The 19,282-nt window shown below is 40.3% G+C and overlaps 2 long non-coding RNA genes across 3 annotated transcripts in view, besides 1 other annotated feature; one reads left to right on the forward strand and one right to left on the reverse strand.

The window, feature by feature from the left end:
• Nucleotides 1–19,282, reverse strand: part of AADACL2-AS1 (AADACL2 antisense RNA 1) — a 176,997-nt gene that overhangs the window by 134,008 nt on the left and 23,707 nt on the right. The window lies entirely within an intron of this gene.
• Nucleotides 9,032–17,613, forward strand: LOC105374159 (uncharacterized). The gene is made up of 3 exons (XR_924584.3): nt 9,032–9,294; nt 12,484–12,607; nt 17,539–17,613. It is a non-coding gene; the product is annotated as an uncharacterized LOC105374159 (long non-coding RNA).
• Nucleotides 11,281–11,481: a silencer, noted in NCBI's record as "peak4862 fragment used in MPRA reporter construct". NCBI's record gives its function as "represses an SCP1 promoter by STARR-seq MPRAs in K562 erythroleukemia cells {active_cell/tissue: K562}" and the evidence as "EXISTENCE:reporter gene assay evidence [ECO:0000049][PMID:32103011]".

Consider the following 19,282-nt stretch of genomic DNA (forward strand, 5'->3'; position numbering starts at 1 on the left):
CCTGGGTTTCACGCACAAAACCGGGCATTCGTTTGGGCAGACACTGAGCTAGCTGCAGGAGTTTTTTTTCATACCCCAGTGACGCCTGGGACACCACTGAGACAGAACTGTTCATGCCCCTGGAAAGGCGGCTGAAGCCAGGGAGCCAAGTGGTCTTGCTCGGCAGATCCCACCAGCACGGAGCCCAGCAAGCCAGGATCCACTGGCTTGAAATTCTCCCTGCCAGCACAGCAGTCAGATGTCAACCTGGGATGCTCAAGCTTAATGGGGAAGGGGCATCCACCATTAATGAGGCTTGAGTAGGCAGTTTTCCCCTCACAGTGTAAACAAAGCTGCCAGGAAGTTTGGACTGGGTGGAGCCCACCGCGGCGCCACAAAGCCACTGTAGCCAGACTGCCTCTCTAGATTCCTTCTCTCTGGGCATGGTATCTCTGAATGAAAGGCAGCAGCCCCAGTCAGGGGCTTGTAGATAAAACTCCCATCTCCTTGGGACAGACACCTGGGGGAAGGGGAAGCTGTGGGCATAGCTTCAGCAGACTTAAATATTCCTGCCTCCCATCTCTGAAGACAGCAGCAGATCTCCCAGCACAACACTGGAGCTCTACTAAGAGACAGACTACCTCTTCTAGTGGGCCCCTGACCCCGTGCCTCCGGAGGGCGTGAAACCTCCCAACAGGGGTTGACAGATTCCTCATACAGGAGAGCTCCAGCTGGCATCTGGCAGGTGTCCCTCTGGGATGAAGCTTCCAGAGGAAGGAGCAGGCAGCAATTTTCACTGTTCTGCAGCCTCTGCTGGTGATACCCAGGCAAACAGGGTCTGGAGTGGACCTCTAGCAAACTCCAGCAGACCTGCAGTAGAGGGGCTTGACTGTTAGAAGGAAAACTAACAAACAGAAAGGAATATCATCAACATCAACAAAAAGGACATCCACACAGAAATCCCATCTGAAGGTCACCAACATCAAAGACCAAAGGCAGATAAAGCCACAAAAGGGAGGAAAAACCAGCACAAAAAGGCTGAAAATTCCAAAAACCAGAGTGCCTCTTCTCCTCCAAAGGATCACAACTCCTTACCAGCAAGGGAACAAAACTAGACAGAGAATGAGTTTGACAAATTGACAGAAGTAGGCTTCAGAAGATGGGTAACAACAAATTCCTCCGAGCTAAAGGAGCATGTTCTAATCCAATGCAAGGAAACTAAGAACCTTGATAAAAAAATTACAGGAACTGCTAACTAGAATAACCAGTTTAGAGAAGAACATAAATGACCTGATGGAGCTGAAAAACACACCATGGGAACTTCGTGAAGCATAAACTAGTATCAATAGCCGAATCAATCAAGTGGGAGGAAGGATATCAGAGATTGAAGATCAACTTAATGAAATAAAGCATGAAGACTAGATTAGAGAAAAAAGAGTGAAAAGGAATGAGTAAAGCATCCAAGAAATATGGGACTATGTGAAAAGACCAAACCTACATTTGATTGGTGTACCTGAAAGTGACGGGGGAATGGAACCAAGTTGGAAAACAAACTTCAGGATATTAGCCAGGAAGGAGAACTTCCCCAACATAGCAAGACAGGCCAACATCCAAATTCAAGAAATACAGAGAACACCACAAAGATACTCTTTGAGGACAGCAACCCCAAAACACATAATCGTCAGATTCACCAAGGTTGAAATGAAGAAAAAAAACGTTAAGAGCAGCCAAAGAGAAAGGTCGAGTTACCCACAAAGAAAATCCCATCAGACTAACAGCGGATCTCTCTGCAGAAACCCTACAAGCCAGAAGAGAGTGGGGGCCAATATTCAACATTCTTAAAGAAAATAATTTTCAATCCAGAATTTCATGTCCAGCCAAACTAAGCTTCAGAAGTGAAGGAGAAATAAAATCCTTTACAGACAATACTGAGGGATTTTGTCACCACAAGGCCTGCCTTAGAAGAGCTCCTGAAGGAAGCACAAGGGAGCACTAAATATGGAAAGGAAAAATCTGTACCAGCCACTGCAAAAACAAAGCAAAATGTAAAGACCATTGACACTATGAAGAAACTGCATCAACGAATGGGCAAAATAACCAGCTAGCATCATAATGACAAGATCAAATTCAGACATAACATTAAATTTAATGGGCTAACAGAAAACCTAACACCACATATTTTCACTCATAAGTGGGAGTTGAACAATGAGAACATATGGGCACAGGGAGGGGAAAGTCACACACTGGGGCCTGTTGTGGGGTGGGGGGCAAGGGGAGGGATAGCATTAGGAGAAATACCTAATGTAGATGATGGGTTGATGTGTGCTGCAAACCACCATGGAACATGTATACCTATATAACAAACCTGCATGTTCTGCACACGTATCCCAGAACTTGAAGTGTTATCCCAGAACTTGAAGTGTAATTTAACACAAATTTAACTAAATTTTTCCCAAAGTCAGCTTGGTCTATGCCCAGGAATGACCAAGGATAGCTTGGTGGTTAGAAGCAAGATGGAGTCAACTATGTCAGATTTCTCTTACTGTCATAAGTCATCTATATCCCTACTTCACACCATTTTATTTCTCTCTTAAAAGCAGGTAGTGTTTGCCTTAGTATCCATATGAATCCTAAGGGCACAGGGCAAAGAAAAGAGACCTGAGTGCAGGAGCCAGGCTGTGGAGCGTGTGTGTGGGCCTGCATCTGGGTCTGGGTCTGAAGCTGGAGCTGGGGCTGGGTCTGAGGCTGGAACTGGGGCTTGTTCTGACGCTGGATCTGGGTCTTGGCCTGGGGCTGAGGCTGAGTGAGACATGATCCAGGCCTGAGTCTGGTCCTGGGTTTGGGCCTGGGCCTGGGACTTAGGCTGGGTGAGCCTGGGGCTGAGATGAGACTGAAGTTGGGACTTGGGCTGAGCTGGGCCTGGGGTGGTAAGTTTCCACTTGTAAGAGGAAGTCAGGGCTGCTGCTGAGCTCCAGAGGCCTTGACCCTCATCAAGTCAGCAGATATCAGGAGTCCTATCTATACTTTTTCTAATAAGGTCACTGAACTATCAGTGAACTATCAGTGACAGAGAATTCTGCTCCTTTCATATGCAGACTTTCCTTTAAATTCAGAAATCTTGATATCTGGATTAAAATAAAAGTTTATCAAGAGAAGAACAAAAGTGAAGATACAGCTTCAGTTTGGGCAGAGTCTTAACAATTAGTTTGTATACAGAACACATTTAGGTTTTTTAGTTTTTTTGAACCTTGAAAACTTTCAGTTACTAGGTCTTACAAGTTTTAAAGTAATATTTTTAACTAAATATTCCTTTTGTTTGTTACCGATATTTTTGGAATCGAGGGATTATTTCTGTAACTTTTGTTTCTAAAACTTTGTGGATCTATGATTCTATAAAAGTAGCTAATAGTTTTTAGTTATCCATGTTAGAGGCTGGGTAACATACCTTGAGAACAACTCCTTCAATTCCAGCTCTGCCTTTAACTTGATTTTCAGTGTATCAGTTAGCTCTCACAACCTCATTTTTGATATAATAGCATTGCCTCAGGGAATTGTGAGCAGTCCATCAGCTAATAAGAACAATATAGGAAATAGATAAGCTATAAAATATTCATTCCCTTCATAGGTCAAGGCATTCCTATCCTCCAGGTCTCACTATCAGAATTCTGTTCCCAGAAGACACGAGCTACTTTCAGCTGAGTTGCTTTCTGAGTTGAGTAAAAGTGGCTATGAGATTGTAAAATATCTCATGCTAACTTGTTGAAGTATAAGTTACTATTCCAATGTGGACTCATTTTGCTTCTTTGGTTTGTACTTGGTAAAAGTACAAAGAAAATAACCTTTATTTATTTATTTATTTATTTTATTATTTTTTTGTTTTGAGACAAGAGTCTCTCTCTGTCACCCAGGCTGGAGTGCAGTGGCACGATCTTGGCTCACTGCAAGCTCCTCTTCCTGAGTTCACACCACTCTCCTGCCTCAGCCTCCTGAGTAGCTGGGACTACAAGTGCCCGCCACCACGCCCAGCTAATTTTTTGTGTATTTAGTAGAGACAGGGTTTCACCATGGTCTGAATCTCCTGACCTTGTGATCCATCCGCCTCGGCCTCCCAAAGTGCTGGGATTACAGGTGTGAGCCACTGCACCCAGCTGAGAATATGTAAATTTTCAGAATAGAAATTTATCTAAATAATGCCCAGATGTACTATGTTTATAGGAAGCTGGCTGCTTCAGTGATGCAATAATAAATCTTACGGCACAGAACACTATATGTTACAGTAAGATTATCAGACAGAGACAATGAGTCTTGGTCATATTTTGTCTAAATATCAATAATATGGAGAATATTTTATCAGGAAATTTGCTCTTTCGTAACTTTCTATTGAAGTTAATAGTGTATTCAAATACAAACTTTGCTAGATTATTAATTCTAACTGTAAAAATAGTAATTTGATCAGATTTCTAAAGATAGCAAATTATTATCCTTTCCATGGCACATTTAAATCTATATAGACCAATACTTGAAAGATATAATGCTACATGGATATGTGTGTATAGTTCACATAAAGAAAAGGAAGAAGAAATGTGCTGTACAAAATTATTAGCCTTGTTACAGTAACTCAGGCCTGTCTCTTGGTTGTATTATTATCATCTCCAATGTACTGATGAGGAAACAAGCTTTAAGAGATCTAGTAGTTGGGTGCACTGGCTCATGGCTGTAATCCAAGCACTTTGGGAGGCTGAGGCAGGAGGATCACTCAAGCCCCGGAGTTCAACTCCAGCCTGGGCAAGAAAGCAAGACCCCATCTCTACAAAAATTACAATAAAAAGAGAGAGAGATGTAGTAAAGGAGTCCTCAAGGCAAGTGTCAGAGTTGGCTTTGAAATCTAGATCTATCTGGCTTTAAAGAAAAATGAACTCTCTGTAACAATCTCTTCTGAAATGAAATCCAAGTTATCATCTAAAAGTTTAAGCCACAGATATATAAACAAGAAACTATTTATAAACCATAGAGGAGTATCATTTTCTTTTCTTTTTTTTTTTTGAGACAGCCTTGCTCTGTCACCCAGGCTGGATGGAGTGCAGTGGCACCATCTCTGCTCACGGCAGCCTCTGCCTCCAGGGTTCAAGGGATTCTCCTGTCTCAGCCTCCTGAGTAGCTGGGATTACATGTGCTCGCCACCACTCCCAGCTAATTTTTGTATTTTTAGTAGAGACGGGGTTTCACCATGTTGATCAGGCTAGTCTTGAACTCCTGGCCTCAAGTGATCCTCCCACCTTGGCCTACCAAAGTGCTGAGATTACAGGTGTGAGCCACTGTGCTTGACCTGGAGCATCATTTTCAGTGGGAAAACACTGATATGGGGAGGAGAAATGTTTTTCCTTCTGAAAATGTTTTTTTTTCATTTAAGATTTAACTTTTTGACAATATAGTTTAAAATTAATTTAATGAATGCTAATTTCCGAGCTTTCCATCCAAAGTGTAGTAAGTCAAAATATATAAAAGTGCATATTTTAAAAACCCTCATTCAAGTTCGTTTGTGGTAAACTTCAAAATTATTATCATAGGGTGAAAGAATGAGAGGGCAGGTGTTGAAACAGATGATGTCTCAGCTTACATTGTACACACTTCCTGTGGTTTTTTAACGTGTCAAAACTAAGAAATAAATATGGTGTGTTTGAAAATTGGCACATCCTACCAGACTAATATGTGTACACAGTACACTATTACCTCACCTTTAATATTCATTGTGTCCACAGCTGGGATAAATACTTGCGTTGGGTGACCATGGGGCAGAGCAGCCTGTGCTTTGTGTATATGAAGAGTTTTCTAGAAGGTGAACTCATCCCAATAAAAAACTGAGTCAAACAGGCAAGTTCAGCCTTATCTTATCTAAGAATAAAGCCTCAGATAGAGGAGATGGGCAATTCTGAGTGTAGCACAATGGAGCAAAGCGATTGTTCAAAACGTTTATCTTTGGCAATCTCAGGAAAATGCCATGGAAAATAACCTGGAGCAGAAGAGGGGAAGGAAGCATGAGCATGTGATTGTAAATGAGACACATCCCAGTGGCCTTACATAAATATACACCTGGGTAGAACTGTAGACATGCTGAGGAGGTGGACTTGGAAAATTATTGACATACACAGAAAATTTTGCTGTTGTCTTTGTCCATGATCTATTACAACTGAACATCTGAGACAGGGTCAGTTAAAAAAATGAAGGCTTATTTAGTTCATGATTTTGAAGGCCAAGAAGTCTAGAATCATGGCACCAACATCTGTTGAGGGCCTTTTTGCTCCATCATAACCCGGCAGAAGGCATCACAAAGCAAGAGAGCAAGAGCATGTGTGTCACGTATGTCAGCTCGGATCTCTCTTCCTTTTCTTATGAAGCTGCCAGTGCTATCGTGGGGGTTCTGCCTTGATGACTTTATCTAATGCTGACTACTTCCCAAAGGTGCCACCTTCAATCAAGAATTTGGGGATTAAGTCTCCAAAGCATGATATTTAGAAAACATATTCAAACCAGAGCATTATGTATAGACAGAAATATACACATATTTAGTACATTTTAAAAGAAAGTAAGGCTCACTACATCAATCATACAATCATTTAGTTCCTACGTCACATTTGCTCATTAGACTTTGTCTATAACCAAGAGTAGTGAGAAGTAAATTAAGTTGCTGAGATGTCTTTTTGGTTCTAAACACATTCAAGATAAAATGATTTTAAATAAGTAGAATTGCTTGGCAGCTTGCCACTTCTGTAACAATTCTGCTTATTTAACAAATATTCTTTGGATGCTCCGTGTTTGCCAGAAATTTTGCTGTTGGTTAAACTATAAATAACAAATATTTTCCTCCATTAATTAACTCACGGTCTTTTAGGGAAATCAGGCGTGTAAATACACATACATAAAGTGGTCGGTGAAAAAACAGAGATGTGCCCAGGTTGCAAAAGAACAGGAAGAGAGGTTGCAATTCTTGCTTATTATGGCAGGGGACGATTTGGAGATGATACTAATTCTACTAGGGCTGGCATGGAGGGAGCGCAGCAACAGAGACAGAGCTGAAGCATAAAGGTGGAAGGTGGGCATTTGCAGGCAAACCAATGAGGGAGCAATTTTTGTGTCACTGTGCCTTTTCAGATGAGAAAATTGGTAGTTAGTAGAAAAGTAATACATACATGTAATACTGTTCAGTTTACAATGGAGCATACCTGGAACCATTCAAGCGTTTTCAAACGAGCCCTTTTTTTTTTTGTCATAAGGAAGGCTTAATCAAAGACAGAAAATAAAATTGGATAAACTTTTCAATAATTAATTTTACATACTTTGTCCTGCCAGCTTTCTTTGAATGCCCTGCCAGCTCTGTCATCCTTATTCCAATTCCAGCCATCTCTTAAATATTAGCGTTCTCAGCTCCATTTTCTTTTCACTCTTTTTTCCCTCAGAAAATTTTATTCTCATACATGGATTTACATCTCTGAGTTTGAATTGGTTTCTATGCTACCTGCACAGATTTTCACCTGCCTTTCTGTGCAACTCTATATGAAGATAAATTCATGGGTTCAAAAGAGGGAGCTCAGTGTCTCCCTCAACACATTTTGTACCTTCTGCACATTCTCTTAGGAACAAAAATGCCATTTCTTTTGCTCCCTCTCCCTCATGTCTACATCCCCTTATTTGTCTAGCCTCTAATTTAGTTTTTGTATTCTTATTTCAATCCCTCATCATGTTTCACCTGGATCATCTATTTTTTTAATCAAATAAACATTCATGTGCATTTATTTATCTAATATCTATCCATGGCTTAGGAATTGTGCTTAGAACTAGGGGAGCACATGAAGAAAAAAAAAAAAGGAACAAATAAGTGATCCAAAAAGTAAAAGAAACAAACAGAGAATTTAAAAAATATGAAAAATTCTTGGATGGGGCATAAGAACAGCTTCTATAGCCCATATGATGTCTTTGTAAGAATTAGTAAAAACATACCCTATGGAGAATGTAACCCCATGCATGATAGGTGCAAGGCTTGGCTTGCAGAGCAGTGACCCGTTTCCAGGCCCACTCTCCCCTCAGTTGGGCATGGACTGCACAACCTCTGTGAACCTTCAAGCATAGGTTATGATGGCAGCCCAGTGAAGGGATACTTTATGTAACTTCAGGATATGCAGAAGTTTATCTCTAAATCTCATTTCAACATTTTATAGATATTCTGTCAGTAAAAATAAATATTTTTAAAATATTTTTTATCATTCAAGTAGTGTACATTGTACCCAATAGGTAGCTTTTCATTCTTCCTACCCTGTCCCCAATGTTTATTATAACACTCTGTATGCCTTTGTGTATCCATAGCTTAGTTTCCAGTTATAAGGGAGTCATGCAGTATTTGGTTTTCGATTCCTGAGTGACTTCACTTAGAATAATGGCCTCTAGTTCCATCCAAGTTTCTGCAAAAGACATTTCATTATTTTCATGGCTGAGTAGTATTCTATAGTATACATATATATATATATATATACACATACATATATAATCACATTTTCTTTATTCACTCATCAGTTGATGGGCACTTAGGCTGATTCCACATCTTTGCAACTGTGCAATACGCTGTGATAAACATATGCATGCAGGTGTCTTTTTGATATAAATACTAAACACCTCTATCAAAGAAGGCCCAAAATGGCAGGAGAAACATTTCATATAAAACAATAATTATCAGGATAGTCACTTGTTATTGAGTACCTATATTGCATCTGATGTTGTAAATATATTCAAATATTTAATCCCTAAAGCAACCTTTAAAGTTAAGTGTTACCACTCTCATCTCCAGATGAGGCAGTGAAGTGTCTGAGGGATCTAATAAACTGTTCAAGTTACACACATGAAAATTTGATGTACACTTATTCTGATTCCAAAGGCCAGGCTTTTTTAGATCTTAGCACTGCTCTTATACAAGCAACAAATGAAAGAGGTTCAAGGAAAGAGAAATTTCACCCAATGTATTGAGGAAAAGGGTAAATATGGATGCTACTGCAATAGACTGAAAGGTTATGTCCTCTCAAAATTCATGTGCTGAAATCTAATCTCCAAGGTGATGGTATTAGAATGTGGAACATTTGGGAAGTGATTATGTCATGAGGGTGGGATGGGATTAGTGTCCTTATAAAAGAGGCCCCAGAGAGTTCCATCATCCTTTCCATCATGTGACAACACAGTGAGAAAATGGCTGCCTGTGAACCAGGAAGTAGGCCCTCAGCAGACAAGGAATCTCCTAGCACCTTGATCTTGGACTTCCCAGCCTCCAGAACTGTGAGAAATACATTTCTGTTGTTCATAAGCCACCAACTCTATGGTACTTTGTTATAGAAACCTGAATGGACTTAGACACCATTTAAAACTGTTTGAAAGATTTTAATAAAGAAGAATTAGCTTTAGTCTGTGTTGCTTTACAGGTCACAGCTTAGCCAGTTGGTAGAAGGGAATTGATGTGATGTTCAGCTCCACACAGTAACAAACTTTGTGTTCCTATGACTGTCTGAAAATTGCATGAGCTACCTTGAAAAGTAATGTACTCCCCATCACTGTCTATGTTCCGAATTGTTGGAAGTGCTGTAAAGAGAGTGCAAATCTTAGGCTGGCCTGAATGACTTCTAGGTTCCCTTCTGCTTGAAGATTCTATGTCTGCAAGTACTGCTGGAAGCACAACAGAGGCTTGTACATAAATTAATTCCCAATTTTCATGCACCTGAGGTCAGTTTGAACCATTATTTTTTTTTAAAAAAAAAGGCCGTGCACGGTGGCTTATGCCTGTAATCTCAGCACTTTGGGAGGCCAAGGCAGGCGGATCACAAGGTCAGGAGATCGAGACCATCCTGGCTAACACGGTGAAACCCCATCTCTACTAAAAATACAAAAAACTAGCCGGGCGTGGTGGCATTTGCCTGTAGTCTCAGTGACTTGGGAGGCTGAGACACGAGAATCGCTTGAACCCAGGAGGTGGAGATCGCAGTGAGTCTAGATGGCACCCCTGCACTGCAGCCTGGGAGACAGAGCAAGACTCTACCTCAAAAAAAAAAAAGCCTTCTCATTTCTGTTCAAATTGCCATTGATCTTCTATTCAAATTGCCTTAGCTATTTACACTACTTAAAATGCTACACATGGAATATTAACTAACCTTTATTGAGTGCTTACTACTTGCAGGATCTAATGGTTCTAATAGCTCCACAAACATTAAACCTTTGTATCCTCTTAACAAATTCACGAGGTAGGTGTTATTATCTTCATTTGACAGATGAGAACATCAAGGCAATTTGATGGTAAATATCCTGCTAAGAATTACAGAGTTAATAAATGAAGGAGAAACATAGTAGGAATGTAGATTTCGGCAATGTCATCCTCTCTCCCCTTCCTCCGTTAAATCAGCATACTTAGGCTCACTCACACTACCCTGCTGAGTTTCTCCTTTAAGCAACTTTGTACCAGATACTTGTGCTGTATCTTAGGGCGAGTTATCTGCATTTGTTAGAGTTCAAAACGCTAACCTTAGGGAGAACAAAGATGGTGAGAGATTACAGGCAGGAGATAAGTTTTTCTTTTACTTTCTCTACACCATAGAATTTGTAACAGGTTAGCATTTAGACAATTTATTATATATAAATCTAGCTCTGACTGTCAAGTTCCTTTTTACTGCTATGTTCATAAGACTTGATGATATTTATTAAATCTCTCAAGTCATCTTTCCTTTTCATCATTCTTCAGCACTCTGTTTTTAATAGCCAATGCTTAGTCAAGTTAATTTAAAGATTTACTGTCCAGAAGTTACAGTAAATTTTTTTTTTTTTTTACCAAAAATGGTGTGAGTAATGACCTGTTGTTGACATATCTTTCCTCCAGATTTTCTTTGCTGCATTAACTCTTCAAGGTCATAACTAATGACTTTCTCATGACCTTGAATTTCCTGGATTTGTTTACTCAGAACAACTGAACAGGTCATTTTTATACATATCTTAGAATCTCAATAATTAAAACTGTCTCTATTGACAGTGCCAAAGAATAGGAATAAAATTGATAAAGAATATTGAAAAATGTGGAGATATAAACACATTTTTACCATCTGTGCTACTACATGAAGCAATGCCACAGGCAATACTAATCAAAGTGAAATACAAATGCAAATTAAATAATGTGACATTTTAACAACACATTTCCCTTCCTTGAAAATGCCTTACCCCAATACTAAAATTAATTTGCATTCTTAAAAAAAAAAAAAACAGACTGGTGGAGCCAGCAGCATAGACAATAGGAAATTGCCTCAGGATTTGTAATTTGTCTTGAGTAGCACAAACACACACACACACACACACTCTCTCACTCTCTCTCTCTCTCTCTCTCTCTCGTGAAAATCAAGAAAGAATGCTATATTTATTTTTCTTGGTTTATATATCATATATCTTAATTTATTTATCATTACATAAGTCAAAATAAAACAATTTTTGTAGGCATTAAAAACTCTAGCTTTAGGCACCATACCAAGAGAATGATTGACAGTGACTCACAGGCATAAGGCTCAATTCAAGACAGAAAGAGCCAAGTCACAATACTGAAAAATAGCCAAGAGTCGGGGAATCTAGGAAATATCAGAAACCAGAAGATAGGTACGTGGTTATGACTCAGAGAGCAATCTGCTGTTACCTATGTAGGCACCACAGCAGTCAGAGAACTGGAAGAAATCAGGCAACATCCTATTGTAGGATCAAAGGGCAGTACCATGCCCTATATCAAATCGAGGCTCTCTCCAGTACATTTACATAACTGGGAGCAAGTTATTAAACCTCTTTCAAACCCATATTCCTCAGATATTAAATAGGGAAAATAATTCTCCTTTGAAGGTTGTTGTGAAGATTAAATGAGAAAATGAGTCTCAAGTGCTAGACACATCGTGTAAACTTAATAATGGTTATTTTCTGCCGGGCACGGTGGCTCACGCCTATAATCCCAGCACTTTGGGAGGCCGAGACGGACGGATCACGAGGTCAGGGGATCGAGACCATCCTGGCTAACACGGTGAAACCTCGTCTCCACTGAAAATACAAAAAAAAAAAAAAAAATTAACCGGGCATGGCTGTAATCCCAGCTACTCGGGAGGCTGAGGCAGGAGAATGGCATGAACCCGGGAGGCAGAGCTTGCAGTGAGCCGAGGTCACGCCACTGCACTCTAGCCTGGGCGACGGAGCGAGACTCTGTCTCAAAAAAAATAATAATAAAATAAATAAATAAATAAAGGTTATTTCTTTTACCAAGACCAAACCAAAGAAGCAAAATAAGTCCACACTGGAATAGGAACTTATACTTCAACAACTTAGCACGAGATATTTTACAATCTCATAGCCACTTTTACTCAACTCAGAAAGCAACTCAGCTGAAAGTAGCTCATGTCTTCTGGGAACACAATTCTGAATATTTTATAGCTTATCTATTTCCTATATTGTTCTTATTAGCTGATGGACTGCTCACAATTCCCTGAGGCAACGCTATTATATCAAAAATGAGGTTGTGAGAGCTAACTGATTCATTCAAAATCAAGTTAAAGGCAGAGCTGGAATTGAAGGAGTTGTTCTTAAGGTATGTTACCCAGCCTCTAACATGGATAACTAAAAACTATTAGCTACTTTTATAGAATCATAGATCCACAAAGTTTTAGAAACAAAAGTTACAGAAATAATCCCTCGATTCCAAAAATATCGGTAACAAACAAAAGGGATATTTAGTTAAAAATATTACTTTAAAACTTGTAAGACCTAGTAACTGAAAGTTTTCAAGGTTCAAAAAAACTAAAAAACCTAAATGTGTTCTGTATACAAACTAATTGTTAAGACTCTGCCCAAACTGAAGCTGTACCTTCACTTTTGTTCTTCTCTTGATAAACTTTTATTTTAATCCAGATATCAAGATTTCTGAATTTAAAGGAAAGTCTGCATATGAAAGGAGCAGAATTCTCTGTCACTGATAGTTCACTGACCTTATTAGAGAAAGTATAGATAGGACTCTTGATATCTGCTGACTTGATGAGGGTCAAGGCCTCTGGAGCTCAGCAGCAGCCCTGACTTCCTCTTACAAGTGGAAACTTACCACCCCAGGCCCAGCTCAGCCCAAGTCCCAACTTCAGTCTCATCTCAGCCCCAGGCTCACCCAGCCTAAGTCCCAGGCCCAGGCCCAAACCCAGGACCAGACTCAGGCCTGGATCATGTCTCACTCAGCCTCAGCCCCAGGCCAAGACCCAGATCCAGCGTCAGAACAAGCCCCAGTTCCAGCCTCAGACCCAGCCCCAGCTCCAGCTTCAGACCCAGACCCAGATGCAGGCCCACACACACGCTCCACAGCCTGGCTCCTGCACTCAGGTCTCTTTTCTTTGCCCTGTGCCCTTAGGATTCATATGGATACTAAGGCAAACACTACCTGCTTTTAAGAGAGAAATAAAATGGTGTGAAGTAGGGATATAGATGACTTATGACAGTAAGAGAAATCTGACATAGTTGACTCCATCTTGCTTCTAACCACCAAGCTATCCTTGGTCATTCCTGGGCATAGACCAAGCTGACTTTGGGAAAAATTTAGTTTACAGTTTAACCTTAAAGCAAGGATGACAATAGTCCTTCCCAAAACTAAATCACCTTTGTAAAACAAATGAAAGGCCACAAGGTTAGGATTCTGAGAGAGGCCTGAACTCTGTTGAAATGTGGGCATAGTTTCTATAATCCCTAATGCTCAGGAGTCATGCGTCCACAGGTTACAAGATTTGTGACTTCCCCAATTACTCCTACAGATAAGATCACTGTTTTGGAACCTAAAGCTGGTTTTTTGAGATGTCTCTCAGACTGACGCCACCCAGACTCCTGGCTCTTGACTCAACCAATCCTGTGGACTCAGCACACAAGGACTGTTTTCCATACCCCTATGATTTCATCCCCAATCAGTCAACATTCCTCATTCCCTAGTCCCCTGCCCACCAAACTATCCTTGAAAACACCTACCCTCTGAGCCTTCAGGGAGATTGATTTGAGTAATAACTCTGCCTCCTGCAGTGAGCCGAGGCGTGGCTGGCCGCGCATCAACTAAACTCTTTCTTTACTATTAGTACCATGCCGTGGTCCCAGAGAATTTATTTTGTCTGTGCAGAAGGCAGGAAGAACTCATCTGGCAACTATAATTCTTAAAAACCTAGTAAAATTAGGCGAGTCTTTAATTTTCAGCAAATTGTGGTAGAGGGAACACCACTGTCTTTTTGTTCTCTGTATTATTTTTCTTTTTTTTTTTTCTTTTTTTTTTTGAGATGGAGTCTCACTCTGTCTCCCAGGCTGAAGTACAGTGGCGCGATCTCAGCTCACTGCAACCTCCGCCTCCCAGGTTCGAGAGATTCTCCTACCTCAGTCTCTTGAGTGGCTGGGATTACAAGTGCGCACCACCATGCCTGGCTAATGTTTGTATTTTTAGTAGAGACGGGGTCTCACCATGTTGGCCAAGCTGGTGTCAAAGTCTTGACCTCAAAAGATCCACTTGCCTTGGCCTCCCAAAGTGCTGGGATTACAGGATAAGCCACTGAGCCCAGCCTTCTCTGCATTTCTTTTCTACATGTAAAAACTTCATGACTAAACTTTCCTCATGGATGTTACATTGTTTTTACTCAGCTTTCTACCTGACTCTCTACATAGGTGTTGGCCATTTTCATGAGCTTGGCCATCCAGATAGAATATGTAGTTTATACCATTCCAGAGGCACCAATTATTTTCTGCTTTATTTACTGCACAGTTTTGGGATCCATGCATGTGATGAGGGAGGCTGAAAGCTCCCATTTCCAGGCACACAAACCTTGAAGGTCCAGTCCTATGCTGTGTGAGGCTCCTCTTCCTTGCCTCTGGTAAAACTCCTCTCTTTTGACTGAGTAAACTACCCTTAAATCATCATGTGTTCTTCCTCTTCAGTTGTTAAACTCAAAGTTTGGTGATCTTTGCATTTAGACATGTGTTATGTAAATATCTTTTATTTCTCATAACTCTGGCTCTTGCTCTAATAAACTTTCACTTTCATTATTTATATATATGAATGAATTGACTTTTTTTTTCCAACTTTATCAATTCCTCTCTTGAGGCAATTCATGCCCACACTACATGATGAGCATCAAGACCTTTTGGGAAGATGGTAGCAAACTTCAGATATCATCCCCCAAATTTATTCTATCACATTTGTCCCTCAATTTCCCCTTTAAAGAACATTTATTTTAATCCATTTCTAACTGTTAGAATTTGGGATCTATTGTCTTTGTTTAGAGTTCATTTATCTAAAACCTCTCCCATGACTGGCTAAGATTTTGTGGGTAATTGAAAGTTTTCTCACCTCCCTCCACTGGAGTTCACTGTGTATTTATGCAAAAGGCTCTCTTTCCTCCCGTTGCTATATCCCCAAACTTTCGTAATTTATCCCAACCTCAGGATGTTTAGCCTGGGCTGGGCTTTGCAAAAAGATTAAGATCATCTATTTTTTGTTTTTTAAGTCAGGAGTTCATTTGGGTTGATGGCTCAGCTCAACTCTCCCACACACTCTGTTTTGACAACACTTATGATTAGAGATATCACAGCCAGAATTGGCTTTCTTGCACTTAAAAGAGGTTCAGTGTATCTAGCATGCAGATTCTATAATACAAACATTAAAATCAACTTCAGTCTCTCTCCTTTTACCCAGGACATCTTTCACTTCCAAAGATAAGTTTGCTCTAAGCAAACTTACAAACTGCAAGCCATGTTACAGGTGTGTATGATGTAGGGAATCTTTGATATTCTGATTAGATCATCCAGGTAGAGTTTGAATTTTCAATCACAGTCAGTGGTGCAAAAGTGGACATTTTACAATTTCATCATCATCAGTAACCTTACTCTCTACTTCTCCACCCTTCCTCCTGCTCTCCAATTTCTACTAAAGGTCCTGAATATAATCTGAACAATTAAAACTAAACTCAGCTGCTTATGAGATTTTCTCTGTTTCTGATGAGTAAGTAGCCAATTCCAGACTGTTTTCATTCCCTTCACCTTTTTTCCTCTAGGAGATGACATAAATGATTTTGGGAGAGGGGGTTCAATTTCCATCAGTATACACTGAGAAGCAGGTGCTTCTCTTTCTTTTTCTCACTTTCTCTGGGTCCTATAGTGGAGGTCTAATGCTATGTGTTCAGCCTCCAGCCTGCCTGCACCCACTGCCACAGCATCCACATCCCCCTCTACTTTTCCTCTGTCGTGACTAAGCAGGCCACTCTACATCCTGTTTATTTTACCTATAAAGTCTGTCCAAACCACTAATCAGCTCTCTTGTGCCTCTCTCAAGGACACAGAAAACTTTCTGAAATTCTGTGCTAGTGCAACATTGTGAGAAACTTGAAATAGGTTGTACTCTCCATCTCTGATTAAACATCTCTGACTCTACTCTTCAATTGCTAGACAATGATGACTTTGGTTGACTTTATACTGAGATTTACCTTCAGGCTTGTGCTCCCTCAGGCTTCATAGAAAACTTGTATCCTTTGTTTCAAGACCTCTGCCAAATCTATCTGGCCTCTGCATTTTACACTATCCAGAGCTTGGCTGGGAGTGAGGGTAGGACACAATGTGCCCTCTCAGTTACTGTCACTTTCTAAACTCTATCCTCTTCGCCTCTGCTAATGCTCTTCCCTCTCACTTATTAAACCTCATCGCCATTGGTGTGGGAAAATACTCTTATCTCAGCATGCATTTTTTTCCCCTAACTTTATCCTCAGGACTCCATCTTCAGCCATCTCCAGAGGCTTAGCCTTTTGTAGCTCAAAAATCCTTTGTGTTCTCAAAAAGCTTGGCTCTTATAAGACTTGGCTTTCAAAATGCCTGGCTCACAAGATTTAACAGATTTCCTAGGAACTCAATTGATTTCCTCTTTCTCAGCCGCATTTGCCCTCCCTGGAGAGGATAAAAGCTATTTAACTTGATGGGTGGAGATCTGAGCAACAACCTAAAAGTGTAGAAAGAACAAAACAGTTATTATCTCCTCCAGGTTTTATCCCACAAGAAACACAGAGTGTCAGGTACTTGGTAGCTGCTCAAAAAAGTATAGTTTCCCCAAATTTTCCTCACACTATTAAATAAGACATCTGCATTATTCTTAAGATCTCTAATGCTTATAATAAGAGTCAAATGTCCATTTCTTTCCTAAACATTCTCCCAGAAAATGGGGAATACCTTTTTCTACTAGATGGTCATTTATCCTAATCACAACCCCTAAGCTTATAAACAAACAAATGAAAAGCAATGTCAACACAGAAAAAGAAAAAAATGCATATTCTAAATGTCACAACTGAAAACTTATAGTAACTTCAAATCCTACCATGTCCAGTATATAGTTTGTGTGATCTATGGTTAGCTGATGGCTACAAAGGCTACAGTGCATAGATAATATGGTCTCTTTTGAGGTGTGGTCTACTTCCTTTTGTCTGTTATCCCCATGTATTGATCAGTTTTTATTACTCTTACTTACAGCATTCTAAACGAAGTGAGAGTAGCTGTCTATCTCCTGTAGTGCTATGTATTTCCAGTCATCATCCAGAACAACAAAAACTGTATCTGGTTTGTATTAGTTAGGATTGAAGCTCAGTTGCGGTCACAAAGGGTTCAAACAATACTGTGGTTCAAAGGAGTTTGTTTCTTACACTACAGTCCAGCAAGAAACAGGCAGGGCACTACAGGTAGGTAACTCTGCTCCATGAGGGGGTAAGGGAGAAGGGAAATCTCCTTTGCCCTCTGAAGGTTCACTGAAAAATCAACTCACAAAAAGGCAGAATAATTGGAGAAAAGGCAAACAAATGTTATTAACGTGTACACAGGGAGAACCACAGAGTGACTATCCATGCCGCCATCTATTTCAGAAGCTTATATACTGTCCTGGCAAATCAAGTTATGGAAGGCAGGAGAAGAGGAATGAGATTGAGAATATTTCTAGGGAGAATGAATGAATCAGGGAGCAGACATTGCACATTATCTTATGAAAGGGTCTGTTCAAGCGTGGCTACATTCTTGGTCTTACAGAGAACAGGGGAGAAAATTGTTCCTTTTGGTGGGTCTGGATCTTACTTAGGCAGATAAAAGATTTGGGGAGACAATGGTGGGGGAAGGTCAGAGAGACCTTGAGGCTTCTTCAATTCAGCATGTCAAAGCACCATACTTTGGGGTATGGTTTCTGACACACAACAAGGTCATTCAGGGACACAGCTTCCTTCTGAGAACTAAAAATAAAATCCTACACCCACCCCCTAACCCCTAACCAACTGATTGGGCTCACTCTCAGCCAAGGGGACTCCAGAGAAACCTTAAAAACTGAGTTCCTGGCCATAACTGGACAGGCGGTTGGATATGCCTATTTATAGCCCCTTCCTTTTGTGGTTTAGACATACAAGTGAGCAGCATTAATGTAAAAATAGAGATGATAAGACAGGCAGAATGGGCTCTTTCTGACAAAAAGACACCAAGTTATAAACAAGACCTAAGGCCACTGCAGGCAAAAGTTACATCATGCACCCCTACACTTAAAGAATAAACTATGTACTCACTGCCACGAGGATTTTCTTTTTCTCTAGCAGCTAAATAAGCACTGGCCTTGAGATAAACAGTATTGAAACAATTGCAGCTCATCCACTTCCAGGCACTGACTCACTGATTCCCCTGTTCCACAAGCCAGAACTATAGCTTTGATTAGACCAGAGACTGATTTCAGTAACTTTCTCCTGATAAGAGACCACCCACATGGACAGGTTCTGGCTTATTTACCGAGGCTTTGCACTGAATGCCTTCATGTCCCCGCTTCACATTTTGACATATAGGGCCTAATTGTCATGCATTTAAATGTTAAGTCTCTACCCCAAAGTGAATATGGGACAAATGTAACATATATGTTTGTTCAGTTTGCATGTGTTAAGACCCCCTTCATGAATATTCAGAGCTATAACCTGTTGGATAGACTTGATCAAGGCATTCTGTATAAATTCCTATTTCATCCTTCCCTCCCTCCAAGTGCCTGCCAATGGCCTCTGCCAGGGGCTATGCTTTCCAGCCTGTCAGAATGGCCACCTTGCAAGCTGTAACCCTTTATAAGAAATAGTCTCCTTTCCAAATTTATAGATATTGTGATTTATAGATTTTTTTTAGTTCATGCTTCTATCCGATGGCTTCACCAGCCTATGCAATTGTATCCACATCTAAAAGGACAAATATTATTTACATCCTTTGA

The sequence above is a fragment of the Homo sapiens genome, chromosome 3 (assembly GCF_000001405.40).
Source record: "Homo sapiens chromosome 3, GRCh38.p14 Primary Assembly".
NCBI classification, from domain to species: Eukaryota; Metazoa; Chordata; class Mammalia; order Primates; family Hominidae; genus Homo; species Homo sapiens.